Source organism: Homo sapiens, chromosome 2, assembly GCF_000001405.40.
Source record: "Homo sapiens chromosome 2, GRCh38.p14 Primary Assembly".
Classification (NCBI taxonomy): domain Eukaryota; kingdom Metazoa; phylum Chordata; class Mammalia; order Primates; family Hominidae; genus Homo; species Homo sapiens.
In genome coordinates, this window is record NC_000002.12 from 200,842,364 (window position 1) to 200,867,920 (window position 25,557).

Consider the following 25,557-nt stretch of genomic DNA (forward strand, 5'->3'; position numbering starts at 1 on the left):
CTTTGCGAGGCCGACACGGGCAGATCACTTGAGGCCAGTAGTTTGAGACCAGCCTGGCCAACTTGGTGAAACCCCATCTCTACAAAAACTACAAATATGAGCCCGGCGTGGTGGCACATGCCTTTTGTCTCAGCTCCTTGGGAGGCTGAGGTGAGAGGATCACTTGAGCCCAGGAAGGGGAGGTTGCAGTGAGCCAAGATGGTGCTACTGCACTCCAGCCTGGGTGATAGACTGTCAAACAAACAAACAAACAAACAAACAAAGATTAGAAAAGCAAGACCAAACCAAACCCAAAATTAGTAGAAGGAAAAAAATAATAAAGATCAGAGCAGAAAGAAATGAAATTGAAATGAAGAAAACAATACCAAAGATCAATGAAACAAAAAGTTGTTTGGGAAAGTTAAAAAAAATTGACAAACCTTTAGCCAGACTAAGAAAAAAGAAGGAAAATCCAAATAAATAAAATCAGAGATGAAAAAGGAGAAATTAGAATTAATAGTGCAGAAATTCAAAGGATGATTAGGGGCTACCGTGAGCAGCTACATGCCAGTAAATTGGAAAACCTAGAAGAAATGGATAAATTTCTAGACACATCCAACCTACCAAGACTGAACCATGAAGAAATACAAAATCTGAACAGACCAATAACAAGTAATGAGATCAAAGCCATAATAAAAGAGTCTCCTAACAAAGAAAAGCCCAGGACCCAATGGCTTTATTTATGAATTTTACCAAATATTTACAGAAGAACTAATACCAATCCTACTCAAACTATTCCAACAAATAAAGGCAGAGGGAATATTTCCAAACTCATTCTATTAAGTTGGTGCAAAAGTAATTGCAGTTTTAGACCCTGAATTTTAAATCATTATAACTAGGCTCAAACACATCTTTATTAATCAAAATAGGAACCATTACAATCAACACATTTTGCCAATGAGAAATAAGTTTGTTTATTCCTGTAGTGTAAAAATCCACGTTTTGGTATTTGACAAACTCTTGGAAAGCATTTTCTGTGTCCTGCTGGTTGTGGAAGTATTTTCCCTGCAAAAAGCTGTTGAGATGCTTGCAGAAGTGACAGTCAGTTGGCGAGAGGCAACTCTCACCAGTGAATATAGCAAATGAGGCAAAACTTCATAGCCCAATTCATTCAACTTTTGAAGTGTTGGTGGTGAGACGTGCGGTGAGGCATTGTCGTGGAGAACTGGGTCCTTTCTGTTGACCAATGCCAACTGCAGGCATTGCATTCTCAGAGCAACTCATTGATTTGCTGAGCATTCTTCTCAGATGTAATGGTTTTGCTGGGATTCAAAAAGCTGTAGTGGATCAGAGCAGCAGCAGACCACCAGTGACCATGACCTTTTTTTTTTGGTGCAAGTTTGGCTTTAGGAAGTGCTTTGGAGCTTCTTGTCAGTCCAGCCACTGAGCTGGTTGTTGCCAGTTGTCATATAAAATCCACTTTTAATCACACATCACAATCCAATTGAGAAATGATTCATTGTTGTTGAGTAGAATAAGAAAAGACAACACTTCAAAACAGTGATTTTTTAGATTTTTGGTCAGCTCACGAGACACCCACTTACTGAGTTTTTTCACCTTTCCAATTGGCTTCAAATACCGAAAGACCAAAGAATGGTCGATGTCGAGTTCTTCGGCAACTTCTCGTGTAGTTGTAAGAGGATCAGCTTCGATGATTGCTCTCAATTGGTCGTTGTTAACTCCCCATGGCTGGCCACTATGCTCCTCATCTTCAGGGCTCTCATCTCCTTTGCAAAACTTCTTGAACCACTACTGCACTGTATGTTTGTTAGCAGTTCCTGGGCCAAATGCGTTGTCAACATTACAAGTTGTCTCCACTGCTATAACCCATTTTGAACCTGCAAGGTGTGGCAGACAGCCCAGGACAACGAGAGGGACTGCAACATCACGGATGGTGACTACTACGAGGTGGACATCAACAGGCAAGATCCTGGCCTGCAGGTACCATGTGGCTGTGGCATTGCCGAGGCTGGCGAGCTCCAAGAGCAGCTCAGGGCACTGCGCAGCAGGCATGAGGCCCGCGAGACCCAGCACGCTGAGGAGAGGGCCTATACAAGGCCAAAGTCCAGGCGCTCACCGCGGAGGTCTCCCTGCTGGAGAAGGCCAGCTGCCAGCACTGGCCCAGCTGGAGAAGTTGCTGAAAGTGAGCAACATTGCCGGTGAGACGCAGGGCCAGCCTGAGTGTGGCCCAGGATGAGCTGGTGATCTTCAGTGAGGAGCTGGCCAACCTCTACCATCACGTGTGCATGTGAAACAACTGGAGGCCCAGCTCTGTCATGGGGGACTACTACCTGAGGGCCAGGACGGGGCCAGCTGCACCAGCCCCATGGGCAACTCCTCCATCCTCCTACCCAGGGGGCTGCTGGCTACAGAGGCAGGCCAAGCACACAGCAGGACCAGGGACATCAGCCCTTCATGTAGCCCCTTGCTGCCATCACCCCTGGGTGACCCATGCTGGGAGCCCATGAATATCTACCACTTGATTCGTATCATCTGCCACCAGATCAAGCACCTGCAGGCAGCTGTGAACCACATAATGGAGCTGTTGTGGCAGCGCATCGCCTCGCAAGAGCTGGGCCCAACCACGGACAAGTTCAAGGAGGCTCTCGTGAAAAAGATCCTCAAGTTGAAGTCGCTGCTCAGCACCAAGTGGGAGCAGCTCACCACGCTGCACACTGTGCTGCAGGCCAGCCAGCAGGCAGCCAAGGTGGCCCTCTCCAAGCTGAAGGGCAAGTAGGAGAAGAAGAAGACCATGGTTACCAAGACCAGGATGAAGCTCTGCAATGAGCTCCAGGTGCTCGCCTCTGAGGAGGACGTGGCCACCTTCTCCTCACTGTGCACCAGTTTGCCACCAGGTGAAATGAGTACATCACAGCTGGAGGAGACGCAGCAGCAGCTGTCAGCTGCAGAGGATGAGAAGGCACTGAACTCACTGCTGTGCATGGTCATCCTGCAGAAGCTGGCACTGACCCAGTGGCTGGAGCTGCTCAAGCTGGACCACACAGACCTGGTGTGACCCCACCAAAGCTGCCCCCAAGGCCAAGCTGGCCACCCCAAGCTTATGTTATGCCTGCACCTGCGCCAGTGACAGGGCCAAGGGCACTGGGCTGACCAACCAGGTGTTCCACATTATAGGTGTAAGCCACCTTGCCTGGCCCATTCCCCGAGTTTTTAATGGGAGGGAAAAAAAGCTTTAATGTTGGTCAGAGTGATGGCTCATGCCTGTAATCCCAACACTTTGTAAGGCCGAGGCAGGAGGATGGCTTGAGCTCAGGAGTTGGAGACCAGCCTGGGCAACATAGCGAGACTGAGACCGTATCTCTACAAAAAAGTAGCGGGACATGGTGGCATGCACCCGTGGTCCCAGCTTCTTGGGAGGCTGAGGTGGGAGGATCACTTGAGACCTGCAAATCAAGATTGCAGTGAGTCATCAACACGCCACTGCACTCAGCCTGGGCAATAGAGTAAAAAAAAAGCTTTAATGTTGAGCATGTCGAAAGCTGCTGCGTGGAAAGGCCTCTGTACAGGCTGAAGATCCTTCCCTGGCTGCCAGGCTTGCCAAGAGCCCTCTAGAAACACGGGGCTCTCTGTTACACGGGGCTCTTTGTTACAATGTTCTTTTTTTATCTGATCAACATGTGCACTTTTGATATTTTGATACTATATTTGCTTCCTTAATTCCTCATGCACTGACAGTCTCAGATGCTGTGGTCTATGCTCATGGGCCTGTCGCTGCCTGCCCACCTCCCTCTGTGTTGGTCTGGTGTCAGCACTAGGCAGAGCTGTGTGCTCTTAGCATGTAGGTCTAGACTGTGGAGATTAGGGCTTTGACCAGAGAATTCACCAGAGAAGGCATCTAGGCCTGAGTTTTTCTTTGTGCAAAATTTTTGTATTACAAATTCAATTTCTTGTTATAGGTCTATTCAAATTTTCTATGTTTTTATTTTTATTTTTTATTTTACTTATTATTATTATTTTGAGGTGGCGTCTCACTCTGTTGCCCAGGATGGAGTGCAATGGCGCAGTCTTGGCTCACTGCAACCTCCACCTCCCAGGTTCAAGTATTTCTCCTGCCTCAGCCTCCCAAGTAGCTGGGATTACAGACATGCACAATGACACCATTCTAATTTTTGTATTTTTAGTAGAGACTGGCTGGTCTTGAACTCTTGACCTCAGGTGATCCGCCTGCCTCGGCCTCCCAAAGTGCTGGGACTACAGGCGTGAGCCACTGCACCCAGGCTTTTTTTTTTTTTTGTGTGTGAGATGAAGTCTCACTCTGTCACCCAGGCTGGAGTACAGTAGTGCAATCTCGGCTCACTGCAACCCACACCTCCCAGGTTCAAGCAATTCTTGTGTCTCAGCCTCCCGAGTAGCTGGGATTACAGGTGTGTGCCACCACGCCTGACTAATTTGTTGTGTTTTTAGTAGAGATGGGGTTTCGCCATGTTGGCCAGGCTGGTCTCGAATTCCTGACCTCATGTGATCAGCCCACCTCAGCCTCCCAAAAGTGGGATTACGGATGTGAGCCACCATGCCCAGCCAGATTTCTTATTTATTTTTGAATCAATGATTGATGAGAAGCAATTGGCATTGGGTCAGAATTATAAATGAAAAAAAAAATTTTTTTTTTTTTTTGGAGACAGAGTCTCGCTCTGTTGCCCAGGCTGGAGTATAGTGGGATGATCTCGGCTCACTGCAGCCTCCGCCTCCTGGGTTCAAGCTATTCTCATGCCTCAGCCTCCCAAGTAGCTGGGACTATAGGCACCCGCCACCACACCCGGCTAATAGGGTTTCACCATGTTTCCCAGGCTGGTCTTGAACTCCTGAGCTCAGGCATTCCACCCACCTCAGTCTCCCAAAGTGCTAGGATTATAGGTGTGAGCCACCATGCCTGGCCAAAATGAACATATTTTTTGATTCAGCTGTTCCAATCCCAAGAACTTATTTCAGTTATATGTTGCTATATGCTAAAGTTCAGTGGCATAAAACAATAACCATGTTATTATGCTCACAGATTCTGTGGTTCAATAAGGGAAGTAACTCAAATGACAGAGGCTTGGAGTCACTAGCATCTGACTTGAGATGACTTGAAGATCAGGGCTTTCCAAAGGTTACTTACATGTAGTCTTTCTATGTGATAGGCTTCTCATAGCATGGTGACTGGATTCTAAAAGGTAGCCCTCCAACAGGGAGCTGCCAGAGAGCAGGTGTTCTATGAAGACCAGATGGAAGTTGCATGACCTTTTATGACCTAGAATGATGTCTCCCATAGTCCATTTTCTGAAGCAGTTACTAGTTCCAAAGAGCATGTGAAGTGGGAGATATTGTTGCAGACATTTCTGGAAAATACAATCTGTCAGACTTTTTACACGAATACTTGTATCTGTTAAGTGTAAAAAGGGGGGCAGAACAATAATTACAGCAATCTCATTCGCAGAGTTTTACAATGTGTACATATGGGCAGGTGCAAATGCATAGAGAGAGAACCAGAAAGTAATGGGATTTTCTTTTTTCTTTTTTGAGACCGAGTTTCGCTCTTGTTGCCCAGGCTGGAGTGCAATGGTGCGATCTCAGCTCACTGCAACCTCTACCTCCTGTGTGCGAGCGAGGGAAGAAAGAAAGAGGGAGAGAGGGAGGGAGGGAGAGAAGGAAGGAAGGAAGGAAAGAAGGAAGGAAAGAAGGAAGGAAGGAAGGGAAAAAGAGATGAAAGAAAGAAAGAGAGAAGGAAAGAAAGAAAGAGACAGAAAAAGAAAGAAAGAAGGAAGGAAAGAGAAAAGAAAACAGAAAAGAAAGGAAAAGGAGTATGAGGAAACGTATGGGCATTGTGGAGATGTTCTTTCTTTTCTTCTTTTTAATCAGCCATATGCTAAGAAAATGTTGTAACTGAATATTGGTTGTGGTGGTGGCTATGTGTTCATCTGTCAAAATATTGTACCATGCGCTTAAGATGGGTAAACTTATTGTATGTAAATTACACCTAAAGAAGGCTGATTTTAAAATTATCAAAATATCAATGTTGAAAACATCAGTTCTCAAGAAATAATATAAGCTATGGATGCCTTCAAATTCCCAAGAAAAGAAAAATTTAAGGCAACATGTATATAAGTATGAATCTACACAATGCCATTAATTAAGGTCCAGGGATTAGAAACACAGGGGTTTGACCCAGGAAGGTGGTGGGTTAGGGAGGAAAAAAAAAAAAAAAAGAAACACAGGGGTTTTCAGAGAGATGTGAGACACACAAGGAGAAATCTTCTAGAACCTACAATCCAAAGTGCTTTATGGTTGGGGGTGGGTGAGCTTGAAAAAAAAAAAAGCTCTATGAAGGTGATGTAGTGGGAGTTATTCCATGGTTGGCATTTGCCAAATTTATAAACCTAGCAAGTAGAGTGAATTTCACAAGATTCAAGGAAACAAAGCTTATGGATGTAGATTTACGAATGTCTTAGTTGCCAATTGACATACAAAATGAAAAACCAGAGTCTTGCTATTTAGGATAAAACACCAAGTTTTTGTTTTTAGAGATGGGTTCCCACTGTTACCTTAGCTGGACTCCAATTCTTGGTCTCAAGCGATCCTCCTGAGTAGCTAGGACTATAGGTGCAAGTCACTGTACCTGGCAAGAGTGAGTCGCGGGTCAAAAGCTTACAGCACCCCGTAGGAATCCCACCCAAGGACTAACCAGGCCTGAGCTTGCTTAGCTTCTGAGTTCAGGTGCATTCAGGGTGGTAGGGCTATAGACTGGTTTTGATTTGGCTGGTCTTTGTTAACAAAGCCCAAGGGACCCTTTTTATGCTCACTTTTCTTCCTTCAGTATTGTATGCCTGGGAATTCTGCTTCTAGCTATGGTAGGATCACTTATTCCAACAAACCCTCTCATTAAAAATAACTAGAAAACCTGGACAAAATGTAAAATACTTAAGTTAAAAAACCCCAAGCAGTTACCAAGGCAGTGATGACTTGAGGGGCTAAGATCCCTGAGAAAGGAAAAGGGCGGTCCAAAGGGGTCAACTCTTCAAAGTATTGGGAGAATTTACAAATGGCAGCTGAGAGCTGACTGGCTATAAACTGGAGGTTTGTAGTTCCCATGACTTCCTCTTTGGGTTCAGTAATTTGGTAGAAAAGCTCACAGGACTCAGGAAAGCAGTTTACTTCTGGATTACCAGTTTATTATAAAGGATACAACTCAAGAACAGCCAGGTGGAAGAGCTGCCTAGGGCAAGGTACCAGGGAGGTGCGTGGGCTTCCAGGCCATCTCCAGATTTCACCATGTTGCCCAGTCAGGTCTTGAATTCCCGGACTCAAGCAATCTGCCTGCCTTGGCATCCCAAAGTATTGAGATTACAGGTGTGAGCCACTACCCCCAGGTGAATTGCTTGAGCCCATGAATTCAACTCCCAAGTAGCTGGGACTACAGAAGCATGCCACCACACTTGACTATTTTTTAACTTTTTGCAGACAGCATCTCCCTATATTGCCCAAGCTGGTTTCGAACTCCTGGGCTCAAGCAATGTTTTGGGTTCCCAAAGTGTTGGGATTATAGGCATGAGCCACTGCATCTGGGCAGTGAACGTTTTTTTGGAGATGGGGTCTCACTGTGTCACCCAGGCTGGAATGCGGTAGCATGGTCCCAGCTCACTGCAACCTCCGCCTCCCAGGCTCAAGCGATCCTCCCACCTCAGCCCCACCAAGTAGCTGAGACTACAGGTGCATGCCACCACACCCAGCTAATTTTTCTTTTTTCCTTTTTTTTTTTTTTTTTTTTTTTTTTGAGACAGAGTTTTGCTCTTGTTTTCCAGGCTTGAGTGCAATGGCATGATCTCAGCTCACTGCAACCTCCACCTCCCAGATTCAAGCAATTCTCCTGCTTCAGTCTCCCGAGTAGCTGGGATTACAGGCATGTGCCACCACGCCTGGCTAATATTTTTTGTAGTTTTAGTAGAGACGGGGTTTCTCCATGTTGGTCAGGCTGGTCTCGAACTCCAGCTAATTTTTCTATCTTTTGTAGAGATGGAGTTTCGCCATGTTGCCCAGGCTGGTCTTGAACTCCTGGACTTAAGCAATCAGTCTGCCTCAGCCTCCCAAAGTGCTGGGATTACAAGAAAGAGCCACTGCGCCCCACCCCAGTAAAAACTCTTAAGAGTAGGGGTGGGGGGAAGCAAAGAAGAGGATGTAGAGTCGACACGGGAGGGTATTGCAATTTTAAGTAATGCAGTCAGAGGATAGATACTTCACTGAAACGAATAAACTCTTGAATGACGGGAGGGGAATGTGGATATCTAAGAGGATGGACTATACTTGGTGAGGCGATAGCGCCGCATGTGGGGGAAAAGTAGCCACGTGGTCAGGAAAGTGGAGTGGCACAGGCGATATTGTAGACCTTTTTAAAGGTGACTGTAAATACTTTCGTAAAACTGACATGGAAGTCATTGGAGGATTTTTTTTTTCCATTTTCTCCCCAAAAGCAGGATCTGAAGCCATTGAAGATTTTTCCCCTTGTTTCTTTTTCTTTCAATAGTTTTGGGGGAACAGGTGGTTTTTGATTACATAGGTAAGTTATTTAGTGGTAATTTCTGAGATTTTGGTGCACCCCGTCATCCAAGCAGCGTATACTGTACCCAATGTGGTCTTTTATCCCTCACCTCCCTCCCACCCTTCCCCAAGTCCCAAAAGTCCATTATATTATTCTTATGCCTTTCCGTCCTCATAGCTTAGCTCCCACTTACAAATGAAAACATACAGTATTTGGTTCTCCATTCCTGAGTTACTTTACTTAGAATAATGGTCTCCAGCTCCATCCAGGTTGCTGTGAATACCATATTTTGTTCCTTTTTATGGCTGAGTAGCATTCCCTGGTGTATACATACTTTTTTTTGTGACACAGCCCTCAGGAGGTCCTGAGGACATGTGCCTGATATACCACATTTTCTTTATCCACTCATTGGTTGATGGGCATTTAGGCTGGTTCCATATTTTTGCAATTGCAAATCATGCTGCTGTACACATCTTTTTCATATGACTTCCTCTGGGTAAGATACCCAGATTGCTGGATGAAATGGAGATTTTGACATGAGTGATATAATAGTTTTAACGGCTTACTCTGGCTACTATGTTAATAGATTGGGGATAGGTAGGGTGGGTGAACTGACTGCCTTGATGGCCCAAATTCTCCACCTCTTTTGCCCTACAACCCTGCAGTACCATGATTCTGGATGGAGCTGTGTGACTTCTCTAACAAATGGGATGTTAGCAAATTTGCTCTGGACACCATTCCTGAGGAACAAGCCTCAAAGCCTGGAATTAACTCCCTACCTTTTAAACCTAAGAAAATATAGGCCCTTAAGGTTTGGTTTGTCAATCCAATCTAACACATTTTAGTCAAACATGTAACTAATGTACTTTTGATTCTCATTGGTACAAATGATTAGCCACACCACCATTTACAATGGCAATTTACATTAACACAAAATTTAGGATTCAGGCCAGGTGCCATGGCTGAGGCTTGTAATCCCAGCATCTGGGAGGACGAAGCGGGTGGATCACTTGAGGCCAGGAGTTCCAGACTGGCCTGGCCAACATGGTGAAAACCAGTCTCTACTAAAAAACACAAAAATCAGCCAGGCGTGGTGGCTGACATCTGTAATCCTGGCTACTCAGGAGGCTGAGGCTCAAGAATTGCTTGAACCTGGGAGGCAGATGTTGCAGTGAGCTGAGATCACGACACTGCACTCCAGCCTGAGCAATAGAGCGAGACTCTGTCTGCTTACAATCTCTGAGGCCTAATTGCATTTTTTTTTTGAGACAGTCTCATTCTATTACTCAGGCTGGAGTACAGTGGTGCCATCTGGACTCACTGCAAACTCCACCTCCCGGGTTCAAGCTATTCTCGAGCTTCAGCATCCCCACATAGCTGGCATTACAGGTGCTTGCCACCATGCCTGGCTAATTTTTTAGTAGAGATGGGGTTTCACCATGTTGGTCTCAAACCTCAAACTCCTGGCCTCAAATGATCTGCCCACTTCGGCCTACTAAAGTGCTAGGATTATAGTTGTGAGCCATCGCACCTGGCCAGCATTTAAAAATTTCTGAAAGAAAGAAATGTGGGGAGGGGAGGGGAGAGGATAGAGAATGAGAATCTGCTGAGGGAAAAAGAAAGAGACAGAGAAAGAGAAAAAAGAGAGAGAGAGGAGAGAGAGAGACAGAGGGAAAAGAAAGCCCCCCAAACCCAAAAAACAACTGTGGAAAGATCTAAGCCTCAGGATCCCAAATGGATCAAACATAGATGAAACCAGACAAAAATCTGCTGTATTACACACACTCACACTTGATAAATTCACAGACTAGGCTGCAAAGGAATGAAAGCTCCACCACAGTGTGATTCTGCAAATGACTTCAGATCCTGTGCAACAATTAACAGCAAACCGCAATACCAAGTTTGAGTAGGAATAAAATGGAACTCTTCTCGGCTAATCTTAAGTTCTGTGTGTCCCATAATCTAGTTTCATTACATTTAACTTAGGGGGCAATGTCTCAATCTTGACAATCCCTAAAATGGAAATGAAGCTAAATTTTCCCAAAGACTTGAGGAAGTCTCCAAAAACAGAAATCTATGTCCATTCTTTAATAGAAGTAGGAAGAAAAATGGTACTTAGAACAAACTGTTCAGATACATATCAACTTCATAAGCACAAAAAATTTATTCTGAATAAATCACTTTACAATTACTGAAAAAGATGTTCATTACCTTAGCTATGTACTTAATGAACCAAATTACCCAAACAAAATAAACATGGCAATATAAAAATGTTAAGAATTTACAAAGCTGTACAAAATAACTTAAAATTTAAAAATTAGACTGATACAGTCTGTAAGATCTCTTCGAGAGAGCTGTCCAATTACAGATCTATATACTTTTCTTCAGAAGGTCAAAGAAAGGATGCTTTAAGGCTTCTCTGAGAGTAATTCTTTTGGCTGGATCATACTCCAACATTTTCTGAATGAGGTCAAAGAGACGCTCATGTTCAACATCTTGAGAAAGCATAAATTCCTGGAAGAAAAAAAGAAATTCATTCAACAGCCTTTTCCACTACCATTGACTACACTATGTAACAGTATAGTAAACCATATATATATAACCACCATAAAAACAGAAAAGAGGCCAGGCATGGTCGCTCACGCCTATAATCCCAGCACTCTGGGAGGCCAAGGCAGGTGGATCACTTGAGGCCAGGAGTTCAAGACCAGCCAGGCCAACATAGTAAAACTTGTCTTTACTTGAAAAAAAAAAAAAAAAAAAAAAAAAAGCGTGGTGGCATCCATCTGTAATCCCAGCTACTTGGGAGGCTGAGACCTGCTTGAGCCTAGGATGCAGAGGTTGCAGTGAGCTGGGCCAACATCGTGCCACTCTACTCCAGCCTGGACAACGAAGCAAGGCTCGGTCTCAAAAGACAAACAGAAGAAACTCAGTTTTGACTATTTGAGCAATGTCTCAAAGGCTTACCTTCAGAGGTTTACAGCGTCTTGAAACATATCTGCCGGCAGAACTGTGTTCATCCCAGTCTAATCGATCGTGGTGAAAATATTTACGTTTCCTAAAAATAAGTCAATATCCATTCATGTTTATAACACTGAAAACTTAAAACAGCTAGCAAAGGTATCAATTACTATGCTTTCCCAGATCACTTTTCTAGAGATTTAAATGGCAGCCATGGGATAGAAATGTTACCTGCTTTGCACCAAGGTAATCTACTATTTAACTGAAAAAATATTAGTTTGACTTCATTATTTATAAAGTCCTAATCAGCGCCTGAGACTTGGTAGAGTGAAAATTTAAAAAAAAAAATTAAGTTCTGGCCAGGTGCGGTGGCTCACGCCTGTAATCTCAGCACTTTGGGAGGCCGAGGTGGGCGGATCACAAGGTCAGGAGATCGAGACCATCCTGGCTAACATGGTGAAACCTTGTCTCTACTAAAAATACAAAAAAATTAGGCGGGCGTGGTGGCGAGTGCCTGTAGTCCCAGCTACTCGGGAGGCTGAGACAGGAAAATGGCGTGAACCCAGGAGGGAGAGCTTGCATTGAGCCGAGGTCACGCCACTGCACTCCAGCCTGGGCAACAGAGCAAGACTCCATCTCAAAAAAAAAAAAAAAATTAAGTTCTAATCAGCAGATGTGATCAAATGATACTAAGGATGTCACTAACTCTTAAAACGTACCTGGTTTTCTGTATCATATGTTTTGGTAGAGGTCCAAGAATCCTTTCCATCATTGCTAAATGCTCCTTACTATCGTGTGTCTAGAAATAAAATAAAAACAGACTTGGGGAAGATGACCACCAAAACAGACACAGTTAAAGCTGACAGCAAAAAAACTAACATTAAGGCTTGCAGAACAAACTCGCCAATGATTCCCTACATGGACACGGATAATTGCTTATATACTGAAAGATGTTTTAAATAAAACAATTATGAAAGAAATATGAATTAGTTTATTTATGCTTATCTACAATTAATAGTCTATAATGGGGGAAGCAAAAGTATTTATTCATATAAACAGGCACCTTTCTTGTGCAAAGCAAGGTTGAAATAGATCATTGTCACTTACTGGAAATACGGTAAACCCAAGATAGTATTCAATAAGAATGCATCCTATGCTCCAGACATCACATGGTTGGGACCACCCTAGGGCTGCAAAGCAAAGCAAAATTTAAGGAAAAAAAATACTCAATGTTTGTTAAAGAAATTAAAAAGTTAGTTAACACTAATACTTTAAAAAAAAAAACACATGTAATGTAGGCTGGGCACAGTGGCTCACACCTGTAATCCCAGCACTTTGGGAGGCCAAGATGGGAGAACTGCTTGAGCTCAGGAGTTCAAGACCAGCCTGGGCAACACAGCGAGATCCCACCTCTATTAAGATATATATATATCTGAATTGGCCGGGCACAGTGGCTCACGCTACAGGCATAATCCCAGCCCTTTGGGAGGCTGAGGCAGGTGGAACACGAGGGCAGGAGATCAAGACCATCCTGACTACACGGTGAAACTCCGTCTCTACTAAAAATACAAAAACAAAATTAGCCAGGCATGGTGGCAGGCACCTGTAGTCCCAGCTACTCAGGAGGCTGAGGTGGGACAATGGAGTGAACCCCATAGGCGGAGCTTGCGGTGAGCCGAGATCGCGCCACTGCACTCTAGCCTGGGTGACAGAGCAAGACTCCGCCCCCCCCCCAAAAAATTATATATATACACATATATATGCAATGTGATGTTTGAGCTGGAAGATCCTAAAGCAATCACTTAATCCAAGGTTAAATACAATATATATGGCCGGGCGCAGTGGCTTATGCCTGTAATCCCAGCACTTTGCAAAGCCAAGGCAGGCAGATTGCTCCAGGTCAGCAGTTTGAGACCAGCCTGCCAACATGGTAAAAACCCCATCTCTACCAAAAATAAGAAAATTAACCGGGTGTGGTGGTGGGTGCCTATAATCCCAGCTACTCAGGAGGCTGAGGCAGGAGAATTGCTTGAACCCAGGAGGCAGAAGTTGCAGTGAGCCAAGATTGCACCACTGCACTCCAGCCTGGGCGACAGAGTAAGTCTCCGTCTAAAAAATAAATAAATGATAAAAATAAATAAATTATATAGTGTTATATATAGTCTGGAATAAAATAGGCATTAAACAATTTTCTGAGATGGAGTCTCGCTCTGTCGCCCAGGCCGGAGTGCAGTGGCGCAATCTTGGCTCACTGCAACCTCCGCCTCCCGGTGTTCAAGCAATTCTGCCTCAGCCTCCTGAGTAGCTGGAACTACTGACGTGTACCACCACACCCAGCTAATTTTTTGTATTTTTAGTAGAGATGGGGTTTCACCATATTAGCCAGGATGGTCTCGATTTCCTGACCATGTGGTCTGCCCGCCTTGGCCTCCCAAAGTGCTGGGATTACAGATGTGAGCCACCGCGCCCCACCCTTGGCCTCCCAAAGTGCTGAGATTACAGATGTGAGCCACCGCGCCCCACCTGGCATTAAACAATTACATTTAAAAACCCTACCACATATTACAAATGTGAAAACAATTCCAGAAAGGTTAAGCCACTTGCTCAAATTCCCAGAGCTAATTATCTGGTACAATTGAGAGCTTAAAATCCATAATGCACTTCATGATACTTATCCCTTAAAGAGAATATGATAAAGCCCCACAAGTAAGACCTAAAACTGCTAAAAAAATTTTAAGTCTCAATAAGGAAATACAAAGGTTCTCAAAGGACAATTAATACTCACCTAAAATAACTTCAGGTGCTCTATAATGTCTTGTAGATACCAATGTACTGTGATGTTCGTCATCATATGTTGCACTACCAAAGTCTACAACTTTAATATCTGGATTTATTAAGGTGCGTTCATCACGTTTCTGAAAATCATAAATGATGGTTAAGAAGGCATAAGCTATTAAGGCATAAGATACTTTATGAATATTTTGGAAGACTTACTATTTTGGGATTATACGCCTCTGTGTAGTCAGACTGCACAAATAAGATGTTTTCAGGCTTTAAGTCTGTGTGAGTCAACTTATTACTGTGCAAAACTGAGAATAAAGAGAAAGTTGCTGTAATCAGAAAACACCAAACCAAACCAAATCACAAAACCCCACAACAGGCCGGGTGCAGTGGCTCACGCCTGTAATCACCTGAGGTCAGGAGTTCGAGACCAGCCTGACCAATATGGTGAAACCCTGTCTCTACCAAAATTACAAAAATTGGCCGGGTGTGGTGGCGTGTGCCTGTAGTCCTAGCTACTCGGGAGGCTGAGGCAGGAGAATCACTTGAACTGGGGAGGCAGAGTTTGCAGTGAGTGAAGACTGCGCCACTGCACTTCAGCCTGAACAACAAAGCGAGACTCCATTTCAAAAAACAAAAAAACCCAACAAAAAACCTCTGATTCCTTTCCCAAAGAATGGTCAACATTCCAGTCTGCTAGAAAATCACCAGTAACTAAAACTTACTACCTCTTATGAAGCTTTCTTTTATGAGATATATCACGCCTTAATTTTTACCCAGCATTCGAAGTTACTATTTTTGCGCATCAGAAAAGTCTAAATCATAGTCTGCAACAAAGTACGTTGTTATATGGTGGATATCCTACTTGCTGAATGAAATGTACACTGCTGGATCAACAGCCTGTAATCAAATCTCTTCATACCTATTCTTCCTCCCCCTTTATTTTTAATCAAATAAAAATTGTACACACTTAGGATGCACATTTTGATATGTGGAATGGATAAAACCAGCAAATTAACGAAGATATACCAAGAACTTACAATTCACAGACTTGCATATCTGATATGCCATCTTTCTGATATGATCCAGTCGAAATGGTAGAAAACCATTTTCTTTAATGAAGTCGTAAGTACTAAGTCCCAATAGTTCAAAAACAATGCAAATGTGACCATGATGCTCAAACCATTCCAACATCTGGACACAGCGGCTACAAACACATGAAAAATAGCTAAGTATAGTTGCTCCTAATTTAAATATACCTGATACCACTTCCCAAGTTCTAATCTGATACTTACAAAGTACTGTTGGGGTCTGTTGTATTCAGATGTTCCAGAACTTGTATTTCTGAGCGAGCAGCTTCACAGTATCTATCCACATTTTTAACTATTTTTACTGCTACATGTCTACCTCCCCTGTTAGAAAGATGCATGCAAATTTAAGAATGACAGACATGATGCTCAATTCCAGGTATTACTGTCTTCAAACTGTACTACTACTCTGACCCACTGTATTTTTTTAATTTATGGTTTAGTGTTCAGTTCTGATTCTATTACATGCTGAATGACACAAATTTCTTTCATCAAACCACCACTCACATGAGTTATTTTTTGGTATTTCAGCTAAACAACTTCTTCCTATATGGTACCTGTCACTGTCAAACATTATCTCAAATGTTCTTTTAGTCCAGGTTGCCAAAAGAGTTAGGATACAGTGGGGAAAGAGTAAAGAGCTCTAGGACCGGGAGCAGTGGCTCTCACGCCTATAATCCCAGCACTTTGGGAGGCCGAGGGTAGTAAATCACTTGAGGTCAGAAGTTCGAGACCAGCCTGACCAACATGGTGAAACCCTATTTCTACCAAAAATATGAAAATTAGCCAGGCACGGTGGTGTGTGCCTGTAATCCCAGCTTCCTGGGAGGCTGAGGCAGGAGAATTACTTGAACTCGGAAGGTGGAGGTTGCAGTGAGCCAAGATTGCACCACTGCACTCCAGCCTGGGCGACAGACCAAGACTCCATCTCAGGGAAAAGAAAAATAAACAAAAAAAGAGCTCTAGCTCTCATGTCCTTACCAATCAATAGTAGGAAGCCCCCTCAAAAATGCTTTGCCATTCAGGAAGAGGAAGAACAATAACAACAACAACAACAACAACAACAAACAGGGAACTAAAAAAAAAGAGTAACGGAAAAAATTCTATACTATCTTAAGAAATTTCATGGCTGGAGCCAAGCGCTCATGCCTGTAATCCCAGCACTTTGGGAGGCTGAGGTGGGCAGGTCACCTGAGGTCAGGAGTTCGAGACCAGCCTGGCCAACATAGTCTCTACTAATACAAACAATACAATACTAATACAAACAATAGCTGGGCATGGTGGCGCGTGTCTGTAGTTCCAGCTACTCAGGAGGCTGAGGCAGAACAATCACCTGAACCCGGGAGGCAGAGGGTGCAGTGAGCTGAGATTGCGCCACTGCACTCCACCCTGGGTGACAGAGCGAGACTCTGTCTCGAGAAAAAAAAAAATTTCAATCAGTAGTTTGATAAACATACATAATTAAACTTGGGACACCAAGTTATCTCCAGCTATGTTATCAGAATGAATTACAGCACTTCCTAAAAATATAGATTCCTAGGTAACTACCCTGAAAAGGTCTGGGGTAGGCAAACCTCTCGAGGAGGATCTTAACATAAAACCAAGGCTGAGAACCACTAATATGGTGGGGGAAAAAAATATGGCCTAACAACAGTGTCCAGTTGAACAACAAAACAATACTTTCAAAACAATATAAAGTGTGTTCTCAGCCTAAAATTAGAAATTATACATACTATTAGTAGCTGTTTAAAAAATATGAAGGGGCAAGTACCTCTTAACTGGAAGTGTCTTACATCCAAGTAAAAAAGGGTATAAAGATATGTATCTAACTCATGGTCAGACCACTTTCTAAAGCTAAATCAATTACCTGTATTGCCAACTTCCCTAAAAGTAATCCCAACATGGGAAACTTACGCTTTATGATCGATGCACTCCACAACTTTTCCAAAAGCTCCTTCACCTAAAGTATCAACAATTTCATCTAAAAGAGAGAAATAAATCTCAGTCATATCAAGAAGTGGAAACAATGTACTTATCACAATAAATGCTATCAATGTAGATTATTCTAGTTGATGCTACAAATTTCCTTATCACTAGATATTTTATTGGTCAACACCATCAAAAAACATAATTATTAGGTCTAATTTCATTAATTTGATTACTGTTCTGGAAGTTCTATATAACAAACATTACATTTCTAAAGAAAGCAAAAATACAATCCCCCCCACCAAAAGAAATGGAAAAATAAAACAAAAACAAAAAAGAGAAAGAAAAAAAGATTTCCAAATCCCTGAAAGCTTAATCTATATATAGATTATGTTATCTGAAAAGTTAATAAGTGTTGAAAAATATTCTATACATCTTGCACTTAGTACGTCTCCACTCTGACAGATCAGGTGACCCTCCTCATCATCCTCTACACTCCTGGTTCTTTTCCTTCGGTGACTCTTCTGGAAACGTCAAGTGGGCGGCACCAAGATCATCCAGCCAATCAATATACCCGAGTGAATTCAGGGCAGAATACGAAATTCATTCAGCGGGGAGATATTCAGGCATTCAGATACACGCCAGGCCACAAACGGTTGGCAGGAGCAATTTCAAATTCAGTCCCCAGAAATTCACAGGGCACATAGTTTATGTTAACAGGAGAAAAACATGGCAAGGAACAGATTTTCAGATAAGATACTCAAAGTGGCAAGGCAACAAAACATAATACAATTGTTTTTCTTAAAAAAAAAAAATGCTTAGTTGTAGCATTCACTGAAACATAATTTTTTAGTTTCTAGTGTTCTAATTTAATGTTGCAAAATCGTATGATGTAATATTTACTTGTCAAAGTAGGCGGTGGCCAAATTAAGATTTCCTACCTAATCTAAGAAAACAAATATTATAACAGTAAATAAAATTAAAGTGCTAATTTTGGGGAAAAAAAGATTTGGCATACAAGAATAACACTACGGCATTTTTAATGTCATCTGAGCTGATCTCCATACTAATATATAACCCATAACAGTTCAAATCTGTTCTGGTTTGCTTAGTGAAAGAAGGGTTAGAAAACATGACTTGTTAGAACAAAGAAGCATACCTAATCCTAAATTATACAAAAATAAAATGCCCTGTTCTACTTTTGTGATTTCAATAGATCAAAACTAATCAGGTTTCTTGAAGTACCACAAAAAACCCTTTTAGAATATTTTGTAATAATTTTCAACTAATCTAAATTAAATCAATTAACTCCCATCATTTCACTGGAATGTCAATTAGGAGCCAACCAATAATTAAATTATAGAACTAAATGTGTACTTTATTTCCGGAATTTCCTATCCAATGCACAAACACAGAAAAAATCCTGCAGGTTAAAACTGAGATGATTTCATCTTAAAACTTTCTCAAATAATCAAACACAAAAATTCAAGTTTCCCTGTTCCACATGGGATATAAAATTTCCAAAATGTTTTAAAAACGTTCATACCCCATGTGAACGACGATGTGAAGTACTGTGGTGAATCCTGTGTTTGCTTTTATAACTACTTCTTCCACTTCTACCAGAAGACTTGCTACTATGGTTCTGATACCGGCTTTCATGGTCTCTTTGGCGATGTCCAGGTTCACATCCTTGAGTGTAGTCATTTCTGTACTCATCAATGTAGCGTCGACTATGATAATCTTTCTCATTTATAGACCTGCTTTCCAAATAATGGCTAGAGAAATAAAAATTATTTTCAATGTTTTATGCTAAGACCAAATATCCTCACATTCTCTTCAAGACAGCACCTAGACTCCCCCACAAGCAGCTTAATTTTACAAACATTACAAACCATCAAAATCTCTCATTGGAAACAAACGAATGGTAGTAATCAGGTACTTATTTTAAGTGATACTAGTTTTGTCTAGTAATGTATTGTTATATTCAGACATTTTAAGTATCCTCCTTACCTATCACACATTTTAGAGTGATTGTATTTGCAGCGCTTGTTCTCCTGGGCACTGCTATGTGATCTCTTCCTTCTTTTATGACTGCTGCTGCTCCTCCATTTTCCATAATCCCAATCCTTGTCATCCCAATCAGGACAGTAAGTTCTCTTTGAGTGTCTCATCTACATAAAAGGCAAGTTTTTCCTAGTTAAATTGTACCCCACACTGAGCTGTTTAAAATTCGTAATTACAAAGGTCCCCTCGTGACCTCGTTTTAAGACCAAAATTCAAGAATCATTATCACCCAATCTGAAATCACTGATAAATCCAATTACTGTGTTGTCCCATATTCTGCAGTTTGAACTTCATTCACAGGCACTCTGCATTAGCCATATCATGCCCAGATTTATTGGAAGAATGCAAAAAAAAAAAAAAGTGAAAAAAGTAGAGGGAGGAATCACAATTTACTAATTTTGGTACATTTTACCCCTGCCCTCCCAGTAGTACAAATATAGCACTATAGAAGTCCACGCTGTCAGGCCTCTGAGCCCAAGCTAAGCCATCATATCCCCAGTGACCTGCACGTATACATCCAGATGGCCTGAAGCAACTGAAGATCCACAAAAAAAGTAAAAATAGCCTTAACTGATGACATTCCACCATTGTGATTTATTTCTGCCCCAACCTAACTGATCAATATACTTTGTAATCTCCCCCACCCTTAGGAAGGTTCTTTATAATCTCCCCCACCCTTAAGAAGGTTCTTTGTAATTCTCCCCGCCCTTGAGAATGTACTTTGTGAGATCCGCCCCCTGCTCCCAAAACATTGCTCTTAACTCCACCGCCTATCCCAAAACCTATAAGAACTAATGATAATCCCACCACCCTTTGCCGACTCCTTTTTCTGACTCAGCCCGCCTGCACCCAGGTGAAATAAACAGCCATGTTGCTCACACAAAGCCTGCCTTTAGTGGTCTCTTCACAGACACGTGAAACACACGTCATTCTCCCCGTTTAAACGTGTACCAGAAACTAGTCTCCAACTCAAATGCAATCATAAATGTTCCTCACCAACACCGCATTACTGATTACTGCAAACGTAATCAGAGTTATATCTGAGTTGCTGACAGAATCATCATTACAGAGCATTTCCGTAAACGGACAAATGAAACTACCAAGGACTTTAATCACACACGAAGGCAACGGTGGCATCAGAATATAAAAACAACAAAACACCATCTTTCCAGTACCACTCCCAAGCACATACAACATAATTTATCCTAAACGCAATGTTAACACAATCTTTTTGGGAATGGTAGGAGCCACCTTCTTTTCAGAAATGCTTCGAGCAAAATCGAAAATCTCTAACCTAACAACTTGAAAAAGACATTATACAGAAATTACTTCATCAACTGCCGTTCTTTCTTACCGGCGGGACCCCTCTGTGTCTTCCGCTACAATTCTTTTTTTTTTAACGCCAGTCAAATTTAGCGGTAGGGGTTGTATACTAATTTTCGTGACACTAATAACTATTAAGTTCTGATAACCCACTACCATTGGACCAGCCTGAGTATAATTTTTAAAGCCCTCCAATTGGGTCGGGGGCCGTGGCTTATGCCTGTAACCCCAGCACTTTGGGAGGCCGAAGCAGGAGGGCTGCTTGAGCCCAGGAATTCGAGACCAGCCAGGGTAATATAGAGAGACCCCGCCTCTATAAAAAATAAAAAATTAACCAGGAGTGGTGGCGCGCGCCTGTAGTCCCAACTACTCAGGAGGCTGAGGTGGGAAGATCACCTGAGCCCAGATGTCGAAGCTGCAGTGAGCCGTCATTGCGCCACTTGCACTCCGGCCGGGGCGACAGGGGCGAGACCTTGTCTCAAAAAAGAAAAAAAGGAGGCTGGGCGCAGTGGCTCACACCTGTAATCCCAGCACTTTGGGAGGCCGAAGCGGATGGATCACCTGAGGTCAACAGTTTGAGGCCAGCTTAATATGGTGAAACTCTGTCTCTACTAAAAATACAAACATTAGCCCGGCGTCGTGGCGGGCGCCTGTAATCCCAGCTATCCCGGAGGCTGAAGCAGGAGAATCGCTTGAACCCGGGAGGCGGAGGCTGCAGTGACTCGAGATCGCGCCACTACACTCTAGCCTGGGCGACAGAGCGAGACTCCAAGAAAAGAAAAAAGCTCCAACTGCTAACCCAAGAGGAGTGGCTGAAACGCCATCGCATAAAATTCTCGGTCACCTGACTTCTGTCACAACGCTCCTTCAAATACACCCCAGCATTTCTCTTTCCTTGGGTTCCTAAATCTGGTTTTTGTTAACACCACTGAGGACAAAGCCACTCGCGATGTTTACGCCGACACTTTCATCATTAGACATTAACTGTAACCCCTACGGGTTCCGTCTCTTTCTCCACTTACTCCAGACAACGTTTCCCCACAGCTGCTTGGCTCACGCACATTCTGGAACCCCAGCAAATCCCCCCTCAACGGGGAGCCTCGCCTTTCCGGCCACAGGGCCGAAGCCGGCCTCCGCCCAGCCGCCATCTTACAGCTCCGCCGAGGCGGTTCACAACATGGCGCCCGCCCGACCGTCCCGCGTCAGGCGGCGCCGCTTCCTCAGCGGAGGGCAGAAGCTCCAAGAGGGCGGCCGGCCTAGCAAACACCGTAACTACCCCCGCAGGCCGGATCCGGCGGCGACAGGCTCGGCCGCGCAGGAAAGAGGGGCGCGCCGCCACTGTGCAGCCTGGGAGTGAAGGGAGCAGGCAGTCGTCGCGCCGGGGACGGCGGGCAGCAAACAAGCAGGAAAAGGGGGCATCGCCAGGCGCCCGCGAGGCTCACAGGAACGGCCCTGTCACCTAGTCCGCTCCCTCCTGCGTCTTACCGTCCTGGACAAAGACTCCAAGTCGAAGGAGACAAAGCTTGTAACGCAATCACGGGAATCACGCAGCTGACTGCGTCGCGCACCAACAACAAAATGGAGCTGACAGCTGCTGCGTCGAGACTCGTCTCGAAAACACTGATGACGCAGCGAGCGCGTCTCCGCCGCGGGGCGGGTCATGCACGGGGCGAGCAGGCGGAAAGGGCGGGCGTGTCGCGCGCGCGACCATCGTGGGCGCAGGCGCCAGGGAGGGAACCAGAGCCCGCTGTGGCGGATGAAAGGAAGCCGTCGGCGTGTTGTCCCCACTCACTGATAGTTTTTGAACTCTAGAACAAGGAACAACTTGTGAACAAGGAAAAGTGAGGGAATCAGTATACACAGTAGCATGTACCCTGTTAGCGACCACTAAAACAATTGCTTTAAAACTAATACTTCACGGCGCGGTGGGTCACGCCTGTAACCCTAGCACTTTGGGAGGCCGAGGCGAGCAGATCGCTGAGCCCAGGATTTCGAGACCAGCCTGGGCAGCATAGCGGGACCCGTCTCTAAAAAATAAATAAATAAATAAAATATACCACTAGCGTCAGATGGCTTCAAATTACTAATGGGATCAGTGTGAGCCAACAGAAATCAATGTTCTGCACCTTGATCCTCATGGTGCCTGCATCAGGCCCAACGTGGGCAGCCAGCATACCTCCCTGTCTATGATACTTTTATGGCCGTAACTGAGCACACATTCTAAAAATAAGCTCCTTGATAAGTTTTGAAGGGAAGGCCAGCGTTAAAGATACAGAGTGGCAGCTCTACAGCAACTGCGGGCTTTATGTCCAGCCTAAGACCTACAGAAGTGGGGAACCAGCCTAATGCCAGTGCCCACCAGTGGGGTACTTTTAGGTAAGGGCGGGAGGGGCCTGGGCCATATGGCTTGCTGACTTGCTGCCCTGCAGGATGTTAAGATGTTCCCATAATGAGGCGGTTCTGGCCCTTGTTCCCGCAGAATGTGGTGGTAGTTTTTTTTGTTTTGTTTTGTTTTTGAGACGGAGTCTTGCTCTGTCGCCCAGGCTGGAGTGCAGTGGCGCGATCTCCACTCACTGCAACCTCCGCCTCCTGAATTCAAGCGATTCTCCTGTCTCAGCTTCCCCAGTAGCTGGGACTGCAGGCGTGCGCCACCACCCCTCGCTACTTTTTGTATTTTTAGTAGAAACTCCTGACCTCAGATGATCCACCCGCCTCGGCCTCCCAAAGTGATGGGATTACAGGCGTGAGCCACCACGACCCCCCGGGAATGTGGTGTTCTTTGCACTTTCTCCCGGCAGAATATGATAGGGGTGTTTCTTTAGTTGCGCCTTTGTCCGTTTTGTGGTCAGGTGGTTAGGCAGGATGTTTCTCACAGCCCGAACCCCTGTGGAATGTTTCACTTTGACCAAGGTCTGCAAAATAGAGGGTGGGGGAGACCAGGCAGGGCTGGGGAAACGGGGCAGGGCGGTGGGGGGGCAGGATTTACAAAATGGTGCAGTTTGGACTAACACTCCTAAAATCAAAAAAAACATATTTGCACCACTAATTAAAAGTGGCAGAGTTTAGAATAAAACTTGGAGGAGGTCAGACGCAGTGGCTCACGCCTGTAATCCCAGCACTATGGAAGGCCAAGGCGGGTGGATCACGAGATCAGGAGTTCAAGACCAGCCTGGCCAAGATGGTGAAACCCCGTCTCTATTAAAAATACAAAAAATTAGCCGGGCGTGGTGACAGGCACCTGTAATCCCAGCTACTCGGGAGGCTGAGGCAGGAGAATTGCTTGAACCTAGGAGGTAGAGGTTGCAGTGAGCCGAGATCCACCATTGCACTCCAGCCTGGGCAACAGAGCAATACTCCGTCTCAAAAAAAAAAAAAAAAAAAGTGGCAAAACAAGGTCTGGCCAAAGAAAGGCCTTAATACTAAGTCTAGAAACTTAAATGATTAAAATTTTAAAAGTGAAACAAAATGTAAAGTCATTAGTATGCCGGGTGCGGTGGCTTACGCCTGTAATCCCAACACTTTGGGAGGCCAAGGTGGGTGGATCATGAGGTCAGGAGTTTGAGACCACCCTGGCCAACATGCTGAAACTGTCTCTACTAAAAATACAAAAACTAGCAAGGCGTGGTGGTGCTCACCTGTAATCCCAGCTACTTGGGAGGCTGAGGCAGAATTGCTTGAACCCGGGAGATGGAGGTTGCAGTGAGTCAAGATCGCGACATTGCGTACCAGCCTGGGCAATAGAGTGAGACTCTATCTCAAAAAAAAAAAAAAAAAAAAAGAATTGCTTGAACCCTGGAGGCAGAGGTTGCAGTCAGCCGAGATTGCGCCACTGCATTCCAGCCCAGGCGACAGAGTGAGACTCTGTCTCAAAAAAAAAAAAAAGTCACTAGTATAACTGGCACTGTTACGGTGGGTAGCTAGTCAGGTATGAACAAAGCAGGAGATGGCTCCCCCAAACACACACTAGGAGTGTCGGGCAACCATCAGGTGAGATGGTCAGGCGGTTATTAACTCTCTTGCTGAAGTAGTAATTGGTCACAGCTGGCACCAGGGAACGGCAGTCTCCTAATAGAAAACACCTGAAACTGGTGAGCAGCAGCTTCCCAATAAGATCTCAGGAGTTGGGCAAGTGGGGAGAAGTAATGCAAGACCTTGGAAGTATGCCAGTGTATAAAACGCCAAGTCAAAAGCTCAAGCCACACATTTATCTTTCAAGTCGCCCGCTTGGTCCTCTTCCAAGCGTACTTCCCTTTCTTTCATTCCTCCTCTAAAGCTTTTTAATAAACTTTCACTCTTGCTCTAAAACGTGCCTCACCCTCTCCTTCTGCCCCTCAGTCGAATTCTTTCTTCTGAGGAGGCAAGAATTGAGGTTGCTGCAGACCTGTACGGATACAGATTCGCTGCTAGTAAAAAGCACCTCAGTTTAGTGGAAGATATAAATGGTGACAAGAGGATAGCTGTAAGCTAACTCCAAACTAGTCAAGAAAGAATCAAAACATTAATTAGACCAGCCATTGGAAGAAATGAGACAAACCAAGAACTGATGCCAAGACAAACATTTTGAGACGGAGTTTTGCTCTTGTCACCCAGGCTGGAGTCCAACGGCACGATCTCAGCTCACCGCAACCGCCGCCTCCCGGGGTTCAAACAATTCTCCTGCCTCAGCCTCCCGAGTAGCTGGGATTATAGGCATGTGCCACCACGCCCAGCTAATTTTGTATTTTTAATAGAGACAGGTTTTCTGTATGTTGGTCAGGCTGGTCTCGAACTCCCAACCTCAGGTGATCTGCCCGCCTTGGCCTCCCAAAGGGCTGGAATTACAGGCATGAGCCACTACGCTCG

General features: G+C 44.2%; 1 protein-coding gene and 2 pseudogenes across 4 annotated transcripts, besides 4 other annotated features; 1 reads left to right on the top strand and 2 right to left on the bottom strand.

Annotated features, from left to right (window-relative positions):
* On the top strand, positions 1,942 to 3,046 carry BICD1P1 (BICD cargo adaptor 1 pseudogene 1; annotated as a pseudogene).
* On the bottom strand, positions 6,675 to 6,781 carry RNA5SP115 (RNA, 5S ribosomal pseudogene 115; annotated as a pseudogene).
* Positions 8,223 to 8,517: an enhancer, noted in NCBI's record as "tiled region #5577; K562 Activating DNase matched - State 12:CtcfO". NCBI's record gives its function as "activates a minimal TATA promoter and a strong SV40 promoter by Sharpr-MPRA in K562 cells {active_cell/tissue: K562}" and the evidence as "EXISTENCE:reporter gene assay evidence [ECO:0000049][PMID:27701403]".
* CLK1 (CDC like kinase 1) lies at positions 10,646 to 22,295 on the bottom strand. 4 transcript variants are annotated; one of them, NM_004071.4, is made up of 13 exons: positions 22,201 to 22,295; positions 19,339 to 19,499; positions 18,875 to 19,103; positions 17,762 to 17,852; positions 17,317 to 17,383; positions 15,610 to 15,726; positions 15,355 to 15,521; positions 14,528 to 14,622; positions 14,319 to 14,448; positions 12,641 to 12,723; positions 12,253 to 12,332; positions 11,540 to 11,630; positions 10,646 to 11,086 (listed from the first exon to the last, which is right to left on the bottom strand). In NM_004071.4, the coding sequence occupies exons 2-13, from the start codon at positions 19,497 to 19,499 to the stop codon at positions 10,943 to 10,945; spliced, it is 1,455 nt and encodes a 484-aa protein (NP_004062.2). In that variant the 5' UTR covers positions 22,201 to 22,295; the 3' UTR covers positions 10,646 to 10,942. The 4 variants fall into 4 exon arrangements, 2 of the variants coding, with proteins under 2 accessions (NP_004062.2, NP_001155879.1); NM_001162407.1 differs by lacking the exon at positions 22,201 to 22,295 and adding an exon at positions 21,738 to 22,198; NR_027855.2 differs by lacking the exon at positions 17,762 to 17,852.
* Positions 20,212 to 20,261: an enhancer, noted in NCBI's record as "active region_16963". NCBI's record gives its function as "activates an Ori minimal core promoter by ATAC-STARR-seq in GM12878 lymphoblastoid cells {active_cell/tissue: GM12878}" and the evidence as "EXISTENCE:reporter gene assay evidence [ECO:0000049][PMID:35858748]".
* Positions 21,355 to 21,434: an enhancer, noted in NCBI's record as "active region_16964". NCBI's record gives its function as "activates an Ori minimal core promoter by ATAC-STARR-seq in GM12878 lymphoblastoid cells {active_cell/tissue: GM12878}" and the evidence as "EXISTENCE:reporter gene assay evidence [ECO:0000049][PMID:35858748]".
* Positions 21,465 to 22,014: an enhancer, noted in NCBI's record as "active region_16965". NCBI's record gives its function as "activates an Ori minimal core promoter by ATAC-STARR-seq in GM12878 lymphoblastoid cells {active_cell/tissue: GM12878}" and the evidence as "EXISTENCE:reporter gene assay evidence [ECO:0000049][PMID:35858748]".
* Positions 22,296 to 25,557: the final 3,262 nt, after the last annotated feature.